At 52.0% G+C, this 23,922-nt stretch overlaps 1 protein-coding gene across 9 annotated transcripts in view, besides 1 other annotated feature; it reads right to left on the bottom strand.

The window, feature by feature from the left end:
* SORCS2 (sortilin related VPS10 domain containing receptor 2) overlaps positions 1-23,922 on the bottom strand; it is a 550,290-nt gene that overhangs the window by 104,147 nt on the left and 422,221 nt on the right. For 8 of the 9 annotated variants that reach the window (XM_005247987.5, XM_011513515.3, XM_011513516.3 and 5 more), the window contains exon 4: positions 189-353. In XM_005247987.5, coding sequence (XP_005248044.2) covers positions 189-353 — 165 coding nt within the window. Of the gene's footprint in view, positions 1-188; positions 354-3,563; positions 4,008-23,922 lie in introns of those variants that run through there. The other variant, XM_047416008.1, reaches the window with a different exon arrangement.
* Positions 22,010-22,199: a silencer, noted in NCBI's record as "fragment chr4:7618209-7618398 (GRCh37/hg19 assembly coordinates)". NCBI's record gives its function as "represses an EF-1alpha promoter that drives an FKBP-Casp9 reporter gene in an ReSE screen in HepG2 liver carcinoma cells {active_cell/tissue: HepG2}" and the evidence as "EXISTENCE:reporter gene assay evidence [ECO:0000049][PMID:32094911]".

The following is a 23,922-nucleotide window of genomic DNA, read 5'->3' as shown; positions in this document are numbered from 1 at the left end:
TCCCTTGAGGGGGCACCAAGGAGAGGGCGATGACGGGGTCCAGCATCCCGGCCCCCAGCCCCGGGAGGCTCCTCCTCAGCCAGCCCAGGGGTTCCGGGTCCCACTTGCTCCAAGTGGGCACTCACCTCCAGGTGGGTCGAGCAGACCCCAGCCCCACAGACCAGGCGACTGGCACCCATATATCTTACCTTGCTCTCCTTTGTGTAGGCGAGGACCTTGTCCTCCTCCTTAGGGTGGAAAATCAGAGTTTCCACGAAGAAGGGAATGGGCTGCTTCTGAAAGGTGGCGCCTTCGTCTGCGCTGAGGAATAGGCTCTGGTCCCGGTCACTGAGTGAGGAGCTGACAAGGATGACCTGAAACACAAAGCGGGTTGTGAGGCCTGGGCCAGGTGCCCCTCTCCCCCGACACCAGAAAGGTGTTGTGAGGCCTGGGCCAGGTGCGCCTCTCTCCCTCACACCAGAAAGGGGGTTGTGAGGCCTGGGCCGGGTGTGCCTCTCCCCTTCACCTCCTGATACCAGGGAGGAGTGCCCAGAAATGGCGGGCCCGCCCCCAGCCCGGCCAGCTCAGCCTAACTATAGCCATCCATTCATGGAGTGTCTGGGCCAGACCCTCGCCCCTGCACACCAGTGAGGAGATGTCCAGAAATGGCAGGTCCAGCCCCAACCTGACCGGCTCAGTGTGAATCTTAGCTATTCACTCATTCGTCTGTTCATTCATGGGGTGCCTGGGCCAAGTTTCTCCACACACCAGGGAGGGGTGCCCAGAAATGGTGGGTCCACTCTCAACCCAGCCGGCTCAATGCAAATCATAGCCATTCACTGATTCATTTATTCATTCATGGAGTGCCTGGGTCAGGCTTCTCCTTACACCAGGGAGGGGTGCCCAGAAATGGCAGGTTCACCCCCAACTCAGCCGGCTCAGCCTAACTGTAGCCATCCATTCATGCATGCATGCATTCATTCATTCACTCATTCATTCATTCATGAGTGCCTGGGCTGGGCCCCCCCACACACCAGGGAGGGGGTGCTGCAGAAATGGCAGCTTCCTCCCAAACCCAGCTGGCTCAGTGCTAATCATAGCCATTCATTCATTCATTCATGGAGTGCGGGGCACTGTTCTGGGCACTGTTCTGGGCACTGAGGCTCCACCGTAAACTCAGGGTTCACAGCCTCTGCCATGAACGTGAATCCATTCCAGAGAGCCAAGACAGGTGAGCGCTCAAAGACCCTGTCTAAAATTCTGTTTCAGGGACAACTGCTCCAAAGCAGGACCAGGGACGGACGGGGAGAGAGTGACGGGGTGGGGCCCACTACCTTCAGCAGAGGAGAACGCTGAGCCGGGGGTCCCCAGGGAACTCAGGGCAGGCCCGAGGTGCTGATGTAGGGGACTGAGCAGGAGGCAGATATGGGGCTGGAGCAGCAGCCAGGTGTTGGGTCTGCAAGGCCTCGGACAGCAGCACAGTGGGTTGTTTAGTGACCCCAAAAAGATTCGTCAACATCCCTATCCCCAGTACTCGCGACTGTGATCTTACTTGGAAATAGGGTCATTGGAGACGTGGCTAAGCATCTCAGGATGAAGCCATCTGGATTTAGGGTAGACCGTAAATTCAATGACTGGCATCCTTATAAGGAGAGGGGAGGTAGGGACGCAGAGAGAAGGCAACACACAGGCAGAGGCAGAGACAGGGGACACATCTGCACATCACCACGGCCATGAATTGCTGGCAGCTCAGGAAGCTGGGAGCGGCACAGAACGAAGGGTCCCTCTGAGCCCCTAGAAGGAACCAGCCTGGCCGACACCTTGGACTCCCAGCCTCCAGACTGAGAGAGGATACATTGCTGCTGTTTTCAGCTCCCCAGGTTGTGGGTCTTTGCAACGGCAACCCCAAGAAACACACACAATAGCTCCTCCAACCGGGAATCGTGTTATTCGGGCTGGGAGGTCTCTAGGGAGGCGTGAGGAAGGGAGGGGGTGGCCTGGTTTAGGTTTTCAAAGGGGCCCACAAAGGAGTGGGCCATTTAGGAGGAGACACCCTTATCCCGGCTGGGTTTGGTGGCTTGGTCAGATTCGGGACATCGCATCTCTACATTTGGAATGACAGACACCCAGACACTCACAGGTGGCCCCGGGGCCATTTTGCTTTGCAATTGGCAGACAAGGCGGCAGACAAAACTTACCTGAGGTCGCACAGCCATGGAATTTGAACCAGGTTACCCAGAGACTGAGTGTGCACCCCCCGCTCCGATCCTACAAGCACACAGTGTTCGTTCGTTCCTTCATTAATTCATTCATTCACTCATTCATTCATTCCCTCATTCGACAAACTTGTAGAGTCCTGGCTTACACAGGCACCGGGCGCCGCAGAGATGCGGGTGAGGCAGGAGAGCAGTTGTGGCTGTACCGGACGTGGTTCTCATCCTAACAGGGGACCCAAAGCAAGTCCCAAAGGAAGTCTCCCTTTGGAGCCAAGCATTTGACTCCAGAGCCCTGTTCTTAGCCACACACTGCAGGGTGCGCCTACGCAGAATGGGGCATTTAAGCTGGGCCTCGCGTGGGGCTGGATAGGACCAGCCCTGCTGAAGATGAGCACAGCTTTCCTGGGGAGGGCAGTGGGCAATGGCACGAGGCGACTATGGTGGCCTTGCTAGACCCCAAAATATCTCCAGAAGACAATTAAGCTCATGGAGCAAAAATCAATAGTCTGCAAGGAGTGCCTGCGTTTAAGTGAATGAATGGTGATCCCATAGATTCTTTCTTTCCAGGGAAAGCTTCATGCACTTCCCAGCTACGGTCATTAATCTCCGCTAGCACAAAACCCTGCTCTGCCAGCACACCAAGGGCCTGACGGAGAAAGATGTGGCCTCCGTGGAGAGCGATTCCTTGGACGACTTTTGTCCCTGAAATGCGGACGAAGGTGTGTGCTCAGAGCTGTGCTTCTTGGTGTGGTTTATCCGTAGGAAAAAAACAAGGAAGAACCGAGGGCTGGTTAGGGGAGGCTTTGATTACATAATAACGTTGGCAAAGAACAGCTAACGACTGGGGAGCTTATGTGCTCATGAATAAAAGCAAGGTGCAAAATTACAAGGAAGTACGCTTACTGTACATACCACGCTGACACGGCGATGAAGCAGTCTATTATGATTCTGTTAATGACAAATGAGTGGACAAATAGGTATAATTTTATCAATGGGAAGTGGCCAGAAATAAGAATGGAAGGCAGCTTGGCGGGACGTAAGAGTGATTGGTCTTAAGTGGTGGCGCTAGAAGGAATTTACTTTTTTACTTTGATAGAATAGTTTCAGATTTACAGAAAAGTTGCAGAGATAGCCTAGCGAGTTCCTGCTTGCTAGATGGAGACAGTGAGGCACAGGGAGGTCACACGGATGGTCAGGATAGAGCCGAGGTCAGGAGCCGAGTGTTTGACTCCAGAGCCCTGTTCTCAGCCACACACTGCAGGATGCACCCACGCAGGATGGGGCATTTTAGCTGAGCCTCCCAGTTCCTGTCTGTACCACACCCAGTTCCCCAGTTATTAACACTTTACATTAGCCTGGGACACTCACCACGAGGAGGATGCCAGCATCAGCACCTTAGTGTTCTCCAAATGCCACGCTTTGTTCAGCTTCCACCAGTATTTCCTCTTCCTGTCCCAGGATCCCACCAGGACACCACAGTACATCTTAGGCTGGGGCAGTCTGGGGACTTTCCTTGTGCTGGATGACCTAGTGAGCTCTGAGGGCTGGCCAGGCACGCTGGAGGATGCCTCTCAACGTGGGTCTGTCTGATGTTTTTCTGGGCATCGGATGGGGTTGTGGGTTCTTGGGAGGAAGGCTGCAGGGGTGAGTGAGGTACATCAGACCGAGTGCCAGCTGTCAGCAGACTTGTCACTGATGGCACTGCCCTTCCCGGCCAGGATCCTGCGTGTCAGACCCTCCCTGGTGGAGTCACTCTTCTCCTTTCCACACTGTCCTCTTGGAAGGAAGTCACCACGCACAGCCCGCGCTTGAGGGGTGTGGGAGTTACCCCCCTCCTCGAAGATGGAAGAGCCACATCTATGATTTGGAATTCATTAGCATGGGAGAGGTTTGTCTCTTCCCCTCCATTGTTTACTCATTCAATCATTTATTTATATCACTATGAGCTAATAAATATTTATTTTATACTTTAGTTGTAATTGGAGACTGTTCTGATATTTTGTTGCTCAAATAGCTCCAGCTCTGGCCCCAGGGAGCCCTTTTAGCTGGGCTTTGTGTCTCTGTGACACACCCTCATCATCCTCCTCCCTCCCTAGGTTCTTTTTTTTTTTTTTGAGACACAGTCTCGCTCTGTTTTCAGGCTGGAGTGCAGCGGCACGATCTCGTCTTACCGCAAACTCTGCCTCCCAAGTTCAAGTGATTCTTTGCCTCAGCCTCCTCAGTAGCTGGGATTACAGGTGCCCGCCACCATGCCTGGCTAATTTTTGTATTTTTAGTAGAGATGGGGTTTCACCATGTTGGCCAGACTGGTCTCAAACTCCTGACCTCAGGTGATCCAACCGCCTTGGCCTCCCAAAGTGCTAGGATTAAGGCATGAGCCACGGTGCCCGGCCTGTCCCTCCCAAAGTTCTGCATACACTGCACGTGGATTCCCTGGATAACCAGGAAGAAGGAAGGAAGTCCTCAGGACTTCTTGGTTCATTCATCATCCATTCAACTTTGACCCACACGTCTGTGCCATTTGGCCAGGGAAGCCCAAATCCCCCTCATTAAAGCACTTTTTCCATGATACAGTTTTTCAAACGTTCTTACGACGCAACTGTGTGTCCACCATCCTCACTGGCCCATGTGCCATTTTTGTACCTCGAGCAAAACAGGACACGGAGCTGGCCGTTAATCCCGCCTGACGGACACATGAAGGAGCGCATGCAGGAATGAGTGAATGAACAATGCCATCTCAGTCTGCGACTCCTAAGGGAATTGTTTGTTTGCTTTTCACCTCTGGGAGGAAAACAACCTTACGAACATTTAAGTAGCCTGGAGAGCAAAACGCATAGAAAAAACTCATCCACTTATGCGTCTTCACCACTCAAAGTTTTGCACATGAATGAAGGCTCATTCATTCATTCTTTCACATTGCAAAACCACATGGTCCAAGCAAGGATTCAGGTAAACACAGGGCTCCGCTGGAGCACAGAAGAGGGAAAATGGCACCCAGGTGTTGGGCAGGTACAAAGGCAGGTAGGACGGCTTCCTGGAGGTGATGACACCCAGATGAGCCCTGAAGAATGAATGGAAATTTGACTGGTAGACCTGGGGGACGGGGCTTCAGGCAGAGAGGACGGCATGACCCCAAAGGCAAGCAGGTGGGGGTCCCTGCTCCGCCTCTCGTCCAGCTTCACCTCCCACCCCTCAGGCTCCTGGCATCAGCCACGGCAAACTCCTTGTGTGTCTCCAGTTAGCGGAGGATGTTTGCATCCTGACAACCACTTGTGTGTGTACTGTTCCCTCTGGGTGGAATGCACAGTGGGACCAAGACACCCCCACTCCTGCCACTGGTGACTCAGAACTAAACCTTCACTTTTCAAAATGACACAAAATCCATGTGTGATCAAATCAAAATAGCTTCTTTCAAATTTTCTGAGTACAAAATTCTGAACAACCTCAACAAACCTAAATGCTTCTCATTTATACATGTGAGCCTGTTTTGATGATGGGATGCCCTTCCCCTTGTTATCTGCTTGTTGAGCACCCTGTTCTGCAAGACTCATTTCAAAGGGCACCTTTTCCAGGAAGCCCTCTATGATAGGGAGTTATTCCACTCCTTCCTCTGCCCCCTCCAGCATCTTGTGCATACACAGGCTAACAGCCTGGTGGCCCTAGGGTCCTCTTGGTGGGTCTGCTTCTGCTGCCAGCCTCTCAGCCTGGCAGTGCTCATGTCTTCAGCGCTGCCATTTCTCCCAGCACCGTGATCCCAATGAATGGGCATTGGTGTTATTCACACACAGCCGGGGGGCTCTGGGTACAGGGCTTGCTTCTCCATCACAGGCCCTTTCTGCGGCAGTCCGCACCCTCCATTAGGCCCTGGGCTTTGCAGGTGGTGACACGGAGGCGAGAGGAGAAAAAGCCCGAGGAAATGATTACAACCTGGGGCCCAGCAATCTGGGCCGGGGCTATTTTTGGTGCCGAGTTGGGAGAGTGAGCCAGGAAAGACGGGGGAGAGGAAGGTGCTGACAGGGAAGGATTATTGGAGCAAAGAAAACAAATCAATTAGCATCGTGCCAGGCGGAGCTGGCAGTGGTTCCTCCAAATTGGGCAGCAGCCTCTATTTTAAATGGTGTATTTTTACTGCTTACTATTCTGGGGGAGACATATGGTACCTGCACTGGGTTCTGGGGGCCCAGGAGGCTGGTTTTTTGAAATTAGAGACGACATTCTAAAACATGGTAAAGAGAAATGCTTGACAGATTCATTTCACTAATGGCCAGTTATTTGAAGCCTAATTCTGAGAAACGGGTGCACAGTTTACGGGGACCAGCAAATGGTCAGGGGCAGACACATGGTCAGGTGAGTCCCTTATTTTAATACATATTCACAGCATACCTGCTAGGTAGGTGTGATTATCCCCATTTCTCAGGTGGGAAAAGTGAGGCCAGGGAGCCTGTGTGCCAAGTGGGTGATCACACAGACGGCTTTTCTCCCCTGATGTCTGTGTCACCTCTACAAATACTGCAGCCAATGGTATCCTTGCACCTGCCCAGAAGGCAGCTGGCTAACATGGGGGTCCTGATGCAACAGGCTTGGAAGAGTCTAGGGAGATCCCTCCCACCCTCAAAGACAGGAAATGGCTTCCAGAAGTCTGCAGCGGCAGCTCTGTCCAGGGCTTTCACGATGGATTTCCGACCCTGTGAAGAGGGAAGGGAGGGCTGGGAGGGACTCCCATTCATTCTTCCCTCTTGGCCCCTCAGCCCATTCTGGAGGGGACTGACTGACTCATTCAGTCCATAGGTGTGGACCCCCCGGGATAGGAGCTGAACCCCATGGGATTTCTGCCCCCCCGGGGGGGTCACAGCAGACAGAAACATCACCGAGTAGGTCTGAGAGGTGTACTAGTCAGGGCAGCCCCGAGCAGAGAGGGCCCCTCACCCAGGCTGGGCCAAAGTGGAGGAGAGGCTGTCCATCAGGAGCATTTCTGCAGATGAGACACAGCTCACACAGGGTGGGCCAGAGTCGACACTGTGCAAAAAGATGCCCCAGAGGGACCAAGGGCAGACACCGGGAGATGCTGAGCTGGCCCTCCCACCCCCTCCCTGCCTGGCCAGGAGGTCTGCCTGAAGCCGAGGCCTGGATGCCCTTCTCTGGCTCTTCAAAATGAGTCCACACCTCCCTGCCTCCCTGACCTGCATCCCATCTGGTCTCCTGCTTGGACCTGCTTGTCAGAAGCACCCCTGTGACTGAGCCCTGCAGGAGCCAGCGGTGACTCTTCCCCGGCCCGCGGGACGCTGCCAAGTTCCCTTCCCTGGTCCACGTCATCTTCCTCTGGCAGGGCTCCAACCCATCTCCTCCAAAAGGTGGTGCCAATGTCCCAGTCTGCCTGGCAGCTAAGCTCATCATATCCTAACTCTCAACTCTCCAAGTTAAAAAAAAAAAAAAAAAAAGAAAAGGAAAACAAACAGCATCCAGAAACCACTTCTCGCCTCGCTAGAGCTCTGGATCACACTCGCCTCTGCAGAACTCTGGTTTCCATTCACAAATCTCTGTCCTGGGGAGGATGCTTTTATTCTGCCCTTTACCAAGTTTAGCCCTAAGGATTGGTGTCATTTGGATTTGACTTTCTATTTAAAACCCAATTGCCCAGTCTACTCCTGGCCAGACAGATGCACCCAGCTCAGGGTACAGACAACTTGGCTTTGATGCTGAGAGAGGCAAACAGCGGAGGCGAACAAACACTGCAGCCTCCACCCCCGGATCTGAAATTAGAATCTTCCCAGAGTGTCTCATCCAAGCTTGTGTGAGTCACAATGAGCAGAAAGCATTCTTCCACCCGGCGCTTCCCCTGTGGCTGAATGCACACAGCTCGCTGGATGTTCAGCACACACTCCGGCGGCTAGCCTGGTGTTTCAGGAGAAAGTCACTCCCGTGATGGTCATGTCTGGGTGACCCTGAGGGCTGTAGAGGTCCCAGGATACAGAGTCCCACTGAGATGTGGCCTTGGACAAGTCCCTCTCCTCACCTTCAAATTGGAGATAATAATTTCTTCTGTGCTGAGGTTCCCAATGAGGCAAAACATTTGCAAGTGTTGTAGAAATATGAGGGGTCTTCATTCTTTTTGTTGCTTTCTTCAACCAGAAAGAAAGATCTACTCTTGGAGAAATCGCAGGTGGTCTGCAGGTTCGTTCCTGCTGGGGCCCTTTAGGGTCTCCCAGGTGCTCCTGGGATTCAAGCTTTTTTCACTCACTCCCAGCCTCACCTGTGGACATGGCTCCCACGCATCCTGAGCTCAAGCAGTCCTGGGCTGTGTCCAGGTCCCAGAGGCCCACCACACCCTCACAGTCTGCGTATGAACAAGCCTCACTTTGCCAGATGCCTTGGTCAACTTCTGACTGCCTGCAGGGTAGGGCCCAGGGGGACATGCCGGTGGCTGCTGTGGTGGTTAACCAAGTGAGATAACCTGGTGACCTGGCCTTGGGCAGAGGTAGGAGAACTGGAGGGGAGAGGGCAGATGTCAAGGACATCTTGGAGTTACAGTTCAGAGGCTTTGCTGGGGAATAAATAAAACGGGGAAATACAAGAGCACACTAAGTTTCAGGCTTGGGTCAAAGGGTGGCCGACAGCGCGTTGCAGAGATGGGGATGCAGTAGGAAGAACTGGTTTGGGGGAGATGAAGCTGAGGTCAGTTTGAGCTGCTGAGGTTCCTGAGGTACACCCAAGTAGAGGGAGGGTGGGGTTTGATATATGGGGCTGGGCTCGGAGAGGAAATCTGCACGGTGGCTAGGCATTTGGAAGCTCCATGCACAGACTCCTGGCTGGGGGTGCCGGAAAGGAACAGCTCATCCAGGCATGGCAGGAAGTGGGAAAAAGAACTGGCCTAGGATGGAGATCAGAGGGACCCTGCAGAGATCAGCGGGTGGGGAGCGAGGGGGGTTGGGGGGTAGGGCGCTGGAGAGTGGCCAGGGGTGAGGGGCTTCAGCAGGCCAGGAGGAGAGAGCTTGGCCTTCCCACCTCCTGACTCCCACCTCCTCCCTCCCTCACCTCTCAGCTGGGCCTGCCCTGCCACAGCCTCTCTGACTTGTTTCACACCCATGTTTGTTCCACATCCGAGGTCCCTCTCACCTGGCTCTGGCCACCCCAGCCTCAGGCTCACTCTATGTTCTGGCTCCGGAGAGCCCCTTCCCGGAGGCTGTGTGGCTGGCTCCTTCTTTTTAAAAATTTATTTTTATTTTTATTAATATCACTTCTAATGGACCAATCATAATTGTATACACTTGTGGTTACGATGTGCTATTTTGATATATGTATGTGTATATACATACATACGACACACAACATGCAATGATTAAATCAAGCCAATCAACACAGCCGTCGCCTCACCCACTTGTTTTCTGAGGTGAGACATTTGAAATTTCAAAACAGCGAGGGAAGGGAACTCCAGATGACCAGCTCCTCCTAACCCACAGCTGGTAGCTCCGAGGCCACCGTCTCAGAGGCCCTTCCTCAGCACACCATCTAAGTGGGCCCTGACTCCTGATTATCCTTTGTCTTAAAAAGCAATTATTAAGCCTCTCTGAAAACATCCTTTTATATTATTATTTCTTATTGTGGCAAAACAGACATATCATAAAATTTCCCTTGTGAGCCCTTCTCGAGTGTACAGTTCAGTGGCATTAGGCATCCACACTGCCCTAGAACCATCACCACTGTCCTTCTCTGGAGCTTTACCATCACCCCAAAGTGCAGCTCCCACCGCGGGAAGCCCCAGCTCCCCACCCCCTCCATTTGTGTTATTGTGCTCACTTCCTGGCCGATCCCGCACGAGGCCACATGGTCAGGGAACAGGGTTGCCTTGTTCACTGCTAGATCCCAAGCCCTACCTGGCATGTAGTCGGTGCTCAGGCCACGAGCTCAGTGCTGCTGAACATGCTGATGGGATATATTTAACTCTCACTTCTAGCTTTTTTTTTTTTTTCGAGACGGAGTCTCACTCTTTTGCCCAGGCTGGAGTGCAGTGGCACAATCTCAGCTCACTGCAAGCTCCATCTCCCGGGTTCATGCCATTCTCCTGCCTCAGCCTCCCTAGTAGCTGGGACTACAGGCGCCCGCCACCACGCCAGGCTAATTTTTTGTATTTTTAGTAGAGATGGGGTTTCTCCATTCACAGGATGGTCTGGATCTCCTGACCTCGTGATCCGCCCGCCTCGGCCTCCGAAGGTGCTGGGATTACAGGCATGAGCCACCGCGCCTGGCCGAACTTTTAACATTTAATGGAGGTGGCGTTCTGTTCTGTTGTGTTCTGTTCTGTTCTGTGTGCTGATGTCTCAGCCCTTCTAAGCCCCACCTGAAGCCCAGGAGCCTGGAAGCCCAGAGACCACACACCCCCGCCTCCCTTAGACTCTACCCCCAAGCTGCCTTCACATGACCGCTGACAGGCACAAGAGTGGAGACACCTTGTTCTCCAGCAGCTGCTGCAGGCAGGCCCGGGGCTGTGCCAGGGTCTCTGGCGTCCTCGCCAGGCCCCCGCTTGGGTGCAGCAGGAGCTGAGAATTGGCAGCTGTTTCTCAAGGTTCCTGCGTGCCTGACCTCCTGATACTTGCAGTGTCTACTATGTAAGGAAGCCTCTAAGTCCTTGTGTCAAACCCCTTCCTCCACCAGATACCGAAAGTGGTTTCTAACCAACACTGGTGAATGGCTGGATCTAGAACTATTTTACCAAATAAAACGAGTTGATCTGAAACCTTCTCTTGTGTGGACCGAGGGCACGCCTTCATTCCAGCCTGCCCAAGGTCTTAAGACTGCCTAACCTCTTCCCTGCCAAGACCCAGGAATTTTGCTAAGGCATTTTTCATGGCTCCTCAGCCAACAGAGGCACATTATGAGTTAATGAGAGCTTTGCCCCTCAAATAAAAGCTCTCTGCCAAATGGGAATCAGGGCAAGGCCAAGGTGGAGAGATCTGTCAGCATTCATGGTTCCTAAAAGAGATTTTCTCAACTAGGCGGACGAGGGCCCCATTCACCCCCCATGGCATGGGAGTTCATGCACAATTCTGAGAAACATGTTGGGAGGCAAGCAGACTGATGCCAGGGCTTGGGCAGGCAGCATCACCCATCCATCCTGAGTAGGGATATGTAAGGCCTGGCATTCTCAGCAGGACGCCTCCCACTGTCCTCTGCTTAGCTGAGGGAATTTTTAAAAACCCACGAAAAGGCTGGGTACAGAGGCACATACCTGTAATCCCAGCATTTTGAGAGGCCGAGGTGGGTGAATCGCTTGAGTCCAGGAGTTTGAGACCAGCCTGGGCAACAAGGCGAAACCCTGTCTCTCCAAGTATAGAAAAATTAGCCGGGCTTGGTGGCACGCACGTGTAGTCCCAGCTACTTGGGAAGCTGAGGCAGGAGGATCTCTTGAGCCTGGGAGGCAGAGGTTGCAGTGAGCTGAGGTCATGCCACTGCACTCCAGCCTGGGTGAAAGAGCCAGACCCTGTCTCAAAAAATAAAACAAAATAAAATAAATGAATAAAAAATAAATAAAATCTTACAAAGGAGAAAAGTCAAGAGAATCATTATCATCGAGGATGAGGATGGGGAACAGTACCATACTGGGACTCGAATTTTTCATTCATTGAGCCAGCACCTAGGCACTGAGCACCAGGGACTGTATTACATGTTGGGTTATGACTGTGGACAGGACAAGACGGGACAGGATGAAATCACCCTCCCATGGCCTTACAGCTGAGTGCAAAAGACAGGAAGGAAAACAAACGCAGGAACACGATCATTTCAGATGGTAGTGAGTTCCATGAACAAGATAAAATCAGGTAATTCAATGACTAATGTGGATGTGTTTATGTGTTTATATACATGCATTCGTACATAAATACGTACACACATATGATACACACAAATATATGTATGTGCTATAGAAAGAGATGTACATATGTAGGAATGAATCTATAGAGACAGAGGCATGAAGCAGCCCGGAAGGTTAACAGCACTGTTTGTTTCTGGGTGACGAGACGATAGTACATTTTTCTTTCTTTGGAGAATGTTTCTGGCTACATTTCCTAGTCTGTACCACATGGCCTAGTGTGAAACACCTATGGAATGACTAAATACATTTTTGTTAAGTCAATATTTTAAAATGAAAGTGTTACATTTGTAATTAGGAAAAAATCCAATAAATAATGTACTTTTATGAAAGAGGAATGTGTTTATAAGCAAAAGCTTAAGAAAGTCTGTTAGCAAGACACCTGTTACAAACTAAGGTTTCCTGCTAGGTCATCTATGAATGGTCGGTATTTCATACTTTTATTTATTTATTTATTTATATTTATTTATTTATTTTGAGACAGGGTCTTGCCCTGTCACCCAGGCTGGAGTGCAGTGGTGTGATCTCAGCTCACTGCAGCCTCTGCCTCCTGGACTTAAGCCATCCTCCCGCCTCAGCCTTCTGAGTCGCTGGGAACCACAGGCGCGTGTGTACCACCATGCCTGGCTAATTTTGTTTAATTTTTTTGTAGAGACAGGGTCTCCCTACATTGCCCAGGCTGGTCTTAAACTCCTGGGCCCAAGCAATCCGCCTGCCTTGGCCTTACACAGTGCTGAGATCACAGATGTGAGCCACCGCGCCCAGCCTATAAATACTTTCAGTCCAACTCTTTCTTTTCCTCTCTCCTCCCCTCCTTCCTCCGTTCCTTCTTTCCTGCCTCTCTACCTTCTTTCTTCCCTCCCTCCCTCCTTCTCTTCCTCCCTGCTCTTTTCCTTCTCTCCTTCCTTCATCTCACCCCTCCATCCGTCCTTCCATCCATCCATCCACTGGGGAGTGACTGTAAGGGTTAATGAAGAGTGCTGGGTGCTTTGAGTCCAGTGACCATCGTACCCACCTGCTGTAACCATCTCCATGCAACCCGGCTCCTGCACCTACCTCCTTGGCATGGGTACCAGTGGCTTCTGGCTCCCGGGCTCGTCTCTGCTTGAACTTGAACTCCTTCTAGTGGGTTGAGAGACGGTGACTGTGTGCCTGGCTCTGTGCTAGGCACTAGCCCCCACAGTCCTCATTATATTCTCACAATGCTACATGTGGGAGATGTTCTTGTCTCTCTTTTACAGACAAAGAAACAGAAGCCTGGAGTGGTGAGATGACCCACTCAAGACCAAACAATTTGTGAGCCATGATGTTGGCATGAGACCCAGCTCTGTCTGACTCGGAGCTGGCGTCCAGCCTCTGCACCAGGGCTTGAGCTGACAAGCATCCAATATAATTTAGTAAAACAGCCACTCAAACACGATTACAGAATTGACTGTCAGGAAAGAGCTGGTTCTGTTTTAATTACTGGCCTGACAATTGCTAAAATGCCAGGAAACATCCTTGAGAACATTTGTAAATTTAATGGCAAGGCAAACCTTTTCTCTTTGGCCAGAAGGCTAACTTGGAAAATCTTGGGTCTGATCGATAATAACTAAATAAGGCAAATACATTTCAGAGCATATAAAATAACTCATCATCGATATTTTGTAGCCTTGATTTATTAATGATCTTGTGTGTAGCATTTGTGAGACGAGAGCCCCCGCCGTCCTCCTCCTCCATGATCACTGATGATCTCAGTTCTCTTAAGGGGTTTTGCGCTGAGGCTCTAGAGTGAATACGGTTTAATCGTGTTTTGTTTGCCTGTCTGAGGACATTTTGCAGACAATGCTAAAAAGCCTGTTTGCTTGGGCAGAGTGCAGCAGACGGCTAATTCTCTGGAGTGATGGTGTTTTGGAAGATTGTCTTTTATCAGGATGGTTGCATTAACTATGTACGGTTGGACGTGTGAACAATTTGTTCATTTATCTGCCCCCTAATTGAACAGTGGAAGGCAAGGGAATGTATCTCAGTAGCTTTGTGTTAGGCCTTTTCAACAGCAGTGCTGGCAGCCTCCTGGGTGAAGATGACAGCTTTCGGAAATAACTGTGGAATCTCCTAAGACTGTCTCTTCAAATATTTGTGATGAGAAGCCAAGATAGTATTGTGGCTGCTGGTCAAATTGGTTAAAATCTTGCATCAGCTTCAACTAGAAGCCATTCTTAATGTTTTCTTATCATTCCCTTATCGTTCCCATGAAGCAGGTGTCTGAAGCCAAAACATGAGACAAGGTCTGCATTGAATGGCCAAGGTCATGGTCATCCATTTAGGGACCATTTGTATTCCGTGGTCATAGACTCCAATAAGAAAGGCCCGTGAATGTAAGCTCCTCAGAGTTGGGTGGGGAAGCTACACTTCTGTCTGGAGAAGCCCCAGTCAGGGTCTGCAGTGATAGCAGCTTGAATCACGGTGGGCATGAATGAAGAACTTCTACTGCATAGAGTATACAGCAATACTGGTAACAAATAGTTGTGCATAGCATTTATTGAGCACTTCTGTATGCCGGGCACTGGACCAAATGCTTTCTTCATATTTTCAACCACCCTCTGATGAAGTAGTTGTTATTATTATCCTTGTTGAATGGCCCCAAGCAAGTGAGTCCCAGAGAGGGCAGTCACCACCCAGTGGCTTAGGGGTTGGTGGGGTAGAGCCCTGACAGCTGCTGCAGAGGTGGATATGGGACGCGCGCTGCTCTTCCTCTGCTCTTGATTTCAGCCTCCATTGAACCTGCATGAACCAGGGCTGGGGGTGGAGCAAGGAACAACCTCGTTGTCTTTGGCTCCATGGAGCACACAGTCTAGTGAACAGGCAAAGACCGACAAAGCGCATAAGCGGCAGCCGTGAACCCCAGCAAGGGCTCGGTCACTGAACAAGAGGGGGAGTGGGGTAAGACCATAGAGACAGCGAGGTGCCCAGGTGACCAATCCAGCAGGAAGGGAACGAGGACGCCGTGGGATGGGGAGGAGGAGACAGCCGCAGGAGATGTGAAAAGGTGGAAGGAGCAGGACTGGATGCCACAGGTCGGGCAACAGGGAGTTTGGAAGGCCCCCGGCTCCTACCTTGGGCATTGGGGGAAAAACAGTGAACCAAAGACACCTGGTACTTTCCTCATGGCTGAGAAGAGACTGAGAAGGAGTGGCCAGAGAGGCAGGGGGAGGACCAGACAGCAAAGTGCTGCAGAAGTCACGGGCCAGCCACCGAGAGCTCAAGCATGGTGAGCTTTCAAAGCCCCACTGATTGACAAAGATGGGGTACTGGTGTCTCTGAGTGTGACTGATTACTGATGGTGGGAAATGGATGTCTCCAGGCACCAGTAATCACCAATGGCAGGAATATTGGTGTCTCCCGAAGGTACCATTGATTGTCAAAGGTGGGGCATCAGTGTCTCTGAGTGTCACTGATTGTAAAAGGCAGGGCATTGGTGTGTCTGAGGACTACTGATTATCAGCGATGGGGTATCGGTGTCCCTGGGCACCACTGGCTGCCAGTCGGGGGGGTAATGGTCCCTAGAAAGGGATGGGGTGGGAGGTAGCACCGTCTTCTGTCCTTCATCTGCCCTCTAACCATATGCCATCGGTCATCAGTCAGTCCTAGCGTTTCCACTCCTCAGTGGCAGGGAGTGGCTCTGGGGTCTGGACAGGGCGGACCCCAGAGCAGACGCATCATGAGCAGTGGGTGAACTGAACAATGGCACAGCAGGAAAAATGAGTGTCTGTTTTGTCAAGTTATTCTCCTCCTTCCTACCACAGATGAAAGATGATTTAATTAAGGTTCTCGGGGAAAGAGCTCTGGAGTGGGAGATTTCCCAGGGGTTCTCTACAATCTCGTGGAGGCCACTGTGACCTGAAGCTCTGGTTTCCTGTGAGAAGCATCAGCACTGGTTCTTCCAGATCTGGAAGAACAGATATCCGTCCTGCATGAAGCCCCCTGGGACTCCGTGCCAGAGCACTCATGACAGAGCCCGGCCAGGCGCCCTCCCACAGGCAAAGAGGAAGGTGGGCAGGGAAGGCAGGGTAGGGCAGTCCAGCCCCTGCCTGGGACTCCAGACACAGTGATGCCTGGAAGCAGGACGCAGCAGCAGAGGGGCCGGCTGGACCAGCACATCTTCTGATGCTGGAATCACTGCAGTTGTGCCCCGGCCTCTCTGCTTGGATACCTCCAGTGGCAAGAGGCTCCCTACCTCGCTGCCTGTGCAAGTGTTTTCTTTATAACAAGCTCAACCCTGCAAGGCACAGAATAAAAGGCTTCAGAGCCCTGCAAAGCTACAAGGAATTCTGGCCATGCACATACAGTGGCGAGACCGCGAGTCACTTCTGTAGTCTATGGGGGCCTCGATCCTGCCCCTTTTGAAGTGGGTCACCCTCCTCCTTCTTGCTCCCTGTCTTCCTCCCACCCGAGCTACAGGTTGGAGTAGGGGCTGGGTGAGGGGAGAAGGAGGTGCCTCAGGCCTGCTGAGGAGCGCAGGGATCCTGGCTTTTTTGTGGCTACTCTGTGGCAATTCCCCCAGGGGCCGTGCTCTGGGGCAGGACGTGGGTATTTCCAGGCCTTACTGAGGCCAGAATGTCAGTAAAATCGCACACCCGGATATCAGTCCTGATAGTACTGATTAATAACTCACAGCGCTGTTGTCACAAGCAGATAGAGCTCACCAAGCCAGGCAGTGATCATCTCAACCATCATAGCTGGGCAGCAGCACCAGCAGGCTCTCGCCAGGCTGGACACCGCCCCAGAGGCCAGGCTGCTGCCAGCCCCGCTTTTCAGAGAGGTGAGCATCTTACCCAGAGGTCGCCTGTCTCAGACAGAGCCGAGCTGGTGACAGGGAAGCTCGGTGGACAGTGTGCCACACCCCGGCAACCTGTCTTTGATTAGATTTATTGACTGGGTTTCTGTGTGGGATTTTGTTCAGCAAAAGTGTTTTCATGTTTTAAAAATATGTTTCACCACCTCTGATTTCATCTGATCACCACCACCCCCAAAATACACACACATAGACACACACATAAACACACACATATACACACACAGACACACAAACACACACACACACATACTCACACATAGACACACACATAAACATACAGACACACATAGACACACATATAAACACACACAGACACACACATAAACACTCACACAGACACACACATAGACACACACTCACACACACACACAAACATGCACACAGACACACACATAAACACTCACACATAGACACACAAACATAACACTCACACATAGACACACACATAAACACTCACACATAGACACATACACAGACACACACATTTGTAGATGCAGGGAGGGGTGTGAGATGCCGGGAGGGAGTGGGAGAGGAAGGCTTCGGAACCCAGGAAAGACCCTGTGCCCCTACTTCCCACACACCACCCTGGGCGGGGCTCAGGGCTGGGCGGGCTGCCACATCTCCGCTGGGCCTGGTCACACTGCCCAGGATGGACATGACCTACCCCCAGCAGGGGAGGTGCCTGAGGTCAAGAGGCCCTGGGAGCCCCCTCCTTGTGGTCAGCAGCTGTGGTCTCAGAGCCAGCTGGGACCTCATGGCCGGCAACCCCCCCGTGCCTGCCAGCCACTGCCTCCCTGGGCCTCTTGGTGGTGGGCTAACACAGGGGTCGCAGCAGGAGAAGGGCACTTGGGGGGCACTCGGGGGCCTGGAATACTCAGGGCTGACCTCGTGGCCGAGGAGCAGGAGAAGAGGAGACCGATCTGCCCTCCCGTCCAGGTCGGAGACAATGCCCTGAGTGCAGGGGAGACCCCCCACCGTGAGACCCTCAGCGCCTTCACCACTAGCCCTGGCCTCAGCTTCAGCTTCAGTTTCTAGTCTGCAAGAAGAAGGCAAAGAGCTCCTGCCCCACAGCCTTCCAGGCCAACCTATGGGGAGCTGCACAAACCCAGCTTTGTCAGGGACATGGAGTGTGTGTACCCAACACCCACCGCCTCCATAGTGACAAGTGCCTGGAGCCTGGCATTGTGGCTGCCGCACATCCTGCTACTGTTTTTGTTGGTTGCCCACAACTCAGCTGCCCGCTTCCCCAGGAATCTGCTTCGGTTGACAGGAGCCCCTCGCCTGGGAAGTTGCACCCTCCCCCAGGCAGTCCACAGATGGACAGATGCCTGATGGATGTGGGGGTGAATGGCCAGGGCTGTATCCCCAGGGTGGGACTCCACAGCGTGGGCTGCAGGCAGGAGCAGGATGTCTTGTGAAAGCTGGGACCCTAAAAAGCTGAGAGACTGCCGGACACTCGCAGCCACACATGGGCCACATCCACGTAACACAGCAAGATGCCTTGTTCCCAACAAAGCCCAACTGTGCGTCTCCTATTTTTAGACCAAAGAAAACAATGCATGGTGATATTGTGGGAGGGATGGCTGATTAGGGAAACCTGTAAGAATCCCGTATCATTCTGCTCCAAAAGATCGCAATCCGCAGAAGAGGTGCTGGGGGTGCTCAGGAGAAACGCCCAGTGGTCCCCAGCCCAGCAGATGAAGGAGGAAGAGGAGGAAGAAGAGGAGGAAGAGGAAGGAGGAGGAGGAGGAAGGAGGAGGAGGAGGAAGGAGGAGGAGGAGAAAAAAGAGGTGTAACTAGATGCAGCTGTTTCTAGAGTGAGCGAGACCAGGTGCCTGGGGACAGGGCAGGGGCAGGGGCAGGGGCTGACGAATCTGTGCCGAGACCCTCTTTATTTCTCATGGCAACATCCTGGCGTTTCACGTCACACACGCATGAACACGTGCACAGACGTGTACATGCGTGTGCTCCTAAAGGCCGTCCCTTCCCACTCGGGCACTATGCCACGTGAGTATCGGCCTGATACCTGTGTGTTGGGCTCACTGCAGAGCCTCCGAGCCTCCTTGAGAGAGAAGGCAGGGAAACCCACTGAAGGTTGTTGTCCTAAGGACTTGGGAGAGGGAGGGCACATCAAGTCCAACCTCTGTCGGGACACTGGCACCCAAGGAGGCAGGGCCGCTTCTCCAGGGACCACAGTCATTGGGCACCAAGCTGGGACCCCTGCCTGCCTAATACCAATTCCAGGGCAGAAGACCCTGCACATCTGGAAACTGTCCCTCATGTCCCTGAGTGTGGACTGAAGAGGTGGAGTGGGCAGGGTAGAGTGAGGTTTTACTGGCCAGAAGCTTCCGGACTGTTTTAAGGGAAATGTCTGGGGAAGCCACGCTCCCAGACTTCCAGAAGGACACACAAGCCCTCTGCTCCCTGGACTTACTGGATAAGCTTCCCAATAAAAATGCTCCAAGATGCCTTGCCCTAATGGAGGGAAACAATGTTGGATCTTCCCAGACTGGCCAGATGAATCCCTTACGCCTGGCCATCATTCGCTGCCACTGGCTTAAGGGTAGCTAAGTATTGGGTAGCCTCTATTAGCCAGGTGCCGAGTGGCACACGCATCTTGTCTCATGAACCCTCGTAGCTGACCCTCGAGAGGGGTGATAGCTTCCTGGAGCTCTGAGAGGCTCACCAACTTGCCCAGAGACACGTAGCACAGGCGCAGGACCTGGGTGCACATCACAGATTGTGTGTCTGACACCTGTACTTTTCAGAGAAAAGCATCTACTCTCACATTTGCCGGTTAGAAATTTCAGGTGCTTCCGAGGACCTATGGGTGCCAGCAGTCTCCCCCGCACTGTGCACACAGGCATGGATGGCACAGGTGAGCTTCCTGCCCCCGCCCGAGACTTCCAGGACGGTGGTGTGTGTGTTTGTGTGTGTGTGTGTGTGTGTTTGCGCACATGGCTCAGACAATAAGTAAAAGCAATAATATACTCTCAAATAGTGAAAAAAACCACGGCAAATATAAAGCAAGGTAATAAGATGCAAGTCCTAGGGTGGGGTGGGGGTTGTGACCTGGGAAAGGAGGGTAAGGAAAAATGTTCCTGAGGCAGAAAAGCCTCCTAGGCACAGGGGAGGGCACATGCTAGGGAGGGTGGCAGCATGCACAAAGGTCCTGAGGCACCAAACTTGGCGTTTGGAGAAACCACAGGAGTCCCGAAGCTGGAGGCATGAAGGGGCGAGCAGAACGTGCTGGGGGCGGAGAGGCAGGCAGAGTGCGGGCCCGGGAGCCTCGTGAGGAGTCTGATTGCAATGTGGGATGGGGAACCATTGGGGGCCTTGAACAGAGGAGATGCAACCTGATTTCCCTGGTGAATGCCCCTCCGGGTGCAGAGTGGAGGGCAGACAGAGGGGCTGGGGTCCTGGAAAAAGCCCTGGAAGATGGGCGTGCTTGGGCCCTGGGGCTGAAATGTGGACAAAGGTCTCGTGGTTTGGAGAACTCACTGTGCAGCACAGACCTCACTAGTGCATCTGAGGTGGGGTGAGGGGATAGAGGGGGAATGGATGACCCCTGAGTTTTTAGCGTGAAGGGGGATGGGACCACTTCCTGAGAGGAGCCTGCGGAGGAGGCTTCTGTGAAGCAGGTGGAAGAGTTCCGATGGCAACGCGATGAATCAGGGATGCCTGTCCACCCTCCGAGGGGGTGTCATGGGGCAGCAGGAGATCTGAGTTTGGACTTTGATTGGGGCATCAGGGCTGGGGAGTGGTGGGGGTGCAGACATAATATCTGAAGCCATGACATTGGGTAGGGTCATGGAGGAAGAGGGAAAAACGGAGGGATGGGCGAGCATCCCACTCCTGACTGCGAATCCCAGAAAGAAAGCCCCAGCTGGAAGGTGAGGCAGAGCTGGGGCGGCACCGGTAGGCGGCTCAGAGGAAGCACACTTCTTCCCCCTTCTCCCCCTTTCTCAGATGAGGAAACTGAGCTCCAAAATCACCAAGGCTTGTCCCTAGAAACACAGCCCATGAGGGGCAAGTCAGATTCTGAGCTTCAGGATTTTGAACTTGAACTAAAAGTTGCTCGGAATATCTGACCCTTCTTCCACATGGCCAACTCCTATACACCCTCCAAAGGCCAACTCAAATGTCTCCTCCTCTATGAAGCACTCCTTGCTCCACGCTTGTGCCCAATCCCCCACCATGGTTCCATGGCAGTTTCTACACACCTCCACTTAGAACTTACTCTACGTCAGGATAGTAGTTTCAGAGTCTCATTGGGCTGTGAGCTCCTTGACGTCAGACAGCAGATTCTATGCACACCCCACACCCCTGCTTGCCCAGAAACTAGGCATATGAGGAGCTCTATAAAGCCTTTCTGGATGGATGGAAGGAAAGGGTGTATGCATGCACGGGTGGGTGGGTGGATGGGTAGGTGCATATATTGATGGATAACCAATGGAGAGACGAATACCATATAGATCAATGGCACATGGATAGGTGGGTGGATGGATAATGGGGTGAGTGGGTGTGTGTATAGATAGATGGATGGATGGGTGAGTAGGTGGATGGATAGATGAGATAACCAATGGATAGATAAATATATAGATCAATGGCACTTGGATAGATGGATGGTGGATGGCGGGTGGACGGATAGAATACTACAGGGTTTGTAGTCAAAATATTCAGAATTCTGGCCTGGCCACAATTTGGACTAGCTGCTGGACCAGGCACCACGAGGTCCATGTTGCTGAACCCTGGGCTCCTCACCTTTGGTGTGGAGAGAAGAGTGACCAATTGTCCACCTGCTGGAGCCCTGCAAAGCTCAAAAGGGCCAAGAGAGGGCTCAGGGGCCTTGTGGGGCTGTGCAAATGTCAGGCAGCCCCAGGGAGCCTGGAGCAGTCTGCACCATCGCAGAGTTCTCTGCCAGAAATCACCTCCAAACGTCCATCGAGGGAACATAATTTCCACATGGCTGGTTTTAAAACCAAGTAATTAAATGGTTTTATAGTCAGTTTTTAAAACAAGCTCTTTAAGTTATGAGTATAAAGCATGTCCCTGTAATAGCCAAGTTGTTCTGTTTTGTGATTTCTATTGCAATGTATTTTTATAATTAGGCAGAAAAAACATCCATTCAGGGCTGAGGCCACTTTATTGCACTCACTTTTGGGCTTGGTGTGACCCAACCAACCCACAGAGATCGGGGCTCCTTAGGGTCTGTCTGTCTGGGTCCTTGCGGGAGGAGATCACCTTGAGGGTGGTGGGTGTCTGACAAAGACACATGACCACCCCACTTGGATGAAGGGTAGCTCAGGGGCTAGAGGATGGATGAATGAATGGTAGATGGGTGGATGGATGGATGGAGGATAAGTGGATGGATGGATGGATAGATGGATTATGGATGAGTGGATGGTGAATGGGTAGATAGGTGGATGAATAGGTGGATGGTGGATGGGTGAATGGACAGATGACAGATGGATGGATGGATGGATGTGTGTGTATGTATATGTGAGTGGGTTGGCTAGCGGCACTCAGAGGAGGCACCTTTTTCAGCCAGGAGTGGGAGGATCAAAGAAGCCTCCAGATGAAGGTAATTATTTGGCTAGGTATGAGATGTAGGGCTCAGGGAGATGATTCCAGCTATACTGGCTTTAGGGCCACCTGCCAGGCTCCATCCCTTATTGAAAACCTGTTCCTATAGGCTAGAGTCCAGCTGAAGCTAGGGATGCCAGAAAATATAGGACACCCAGTTATATTTGAATTTCCAATAAAGAAGTAACTTTTTTTAGTAATAAGTATGCCCCAAACATCACATAATTTTAGTATAAGTATGCAATATTTGTGATATACTAAACTAACTGGTTGATATATAAAATTCAAATTTAACTGTGCATCCTTTAAAAAGTTCTTTGTTTAAGCTGGCAGCCCTATGAGAGAATGGAGCCACTGAAGTGGGTTTGGAGGCTGTTGGTCACCCCTGGTCAGCTGTGAGGCCAGCAGAGGCTCCTTGCTGTCTACTGTTAAGTGATGAGCACCGTGAAGAGGGAAGCTCAGGTCTGCGGGAGCACAGAGGAGCCACCTAGTCCCCAGGGATCTGTAGTTTCCTGGAAGTATCACTGGAAGGATGAAGAACAGTTGGGGAAATCTACCGTGGGAGGAAGTTATTTCAGGTGATGGAAAAGCACGGGCAGGCACAGGAACACCTGATGTGGCAAGAGTGGAGGTGGAGGTGGTGGGACTGGGGAGAGGGCAGGTATGTAACCATGTCCCTCTTAGATCACCCCAGGGTGCAACAGTGCTGCTGCTCTCCTGGTCAAAGACTTTACCCACATTTTAAAAGGCACCTCTCCCTCCCTGGCACATGCCTGGAGAATGGTTAACCCCCTTATACCAGGAAAAAGATTTTCCTTTCTCCAGGCCAAGGCACCTCACTCCATAGCCCCATTTGTCCTCAGCTAATTGCCCCTGTGCAGTACACAACTTGTCCAATGCCCTGACTTCAAGCTTAAGTTCCAGATAGGAGGGTCTTGTCTCTCTTGCTCACTGTTATATCTCCAGAAACTACAGCAGTGCCAGGTAAATCTCTGACAAATCAATATGGAGTGAAGGAAGGCAGATGGATGAATGAATGAATGAATGAATGAGTGAATGGATGGCAGATGGATGAACAGATGGAGGACAATGGATGAGTAGATGAATGGATGGATGGATGGGTAGACAGAGAGATGGTGGATGGGTGAATAGGTGGATGGATGAATAAATGGATGGATGAATGGATAAGCAGATGAACAGATGGGTGGAGCACTGGCTCGAGAGCTAGTCCCTGGATTATGGGTGAATGGATGGTGAATGGGGTGGGTAGGTGGATTAATAGGTGGATGGATGAATGGATTGATGGGTGGATGGCAGATGGGTGGATGAGTAGAGGGATGGATGGACAGTGGATAAGAGATGGATGGATGGATGAATGGATGGTGGTTGGTGGATAGGTGGATGGATGAATGGATTATGGGTGAATGATGGTGAATGGGTGT

This window comes from Homo sapiens, chromosome 4 (assembly GCF_000001405.40).
Source record: "Homo sapiens chromosome 4, GRCh38.p14 Primary Assembly".
Classification (NCBI taxonomy): domain Eukaryota; kingdom Metazoa; phylum Chordata; class Mammalia; order Primates; family Hominidae; genus Homo; species Homo sapiens.
The sequence above is the reverse complement of the archived record's forward strand: the minus strand, read 5'-3'. Positions and strand labels throughout refer to the sequence as shown.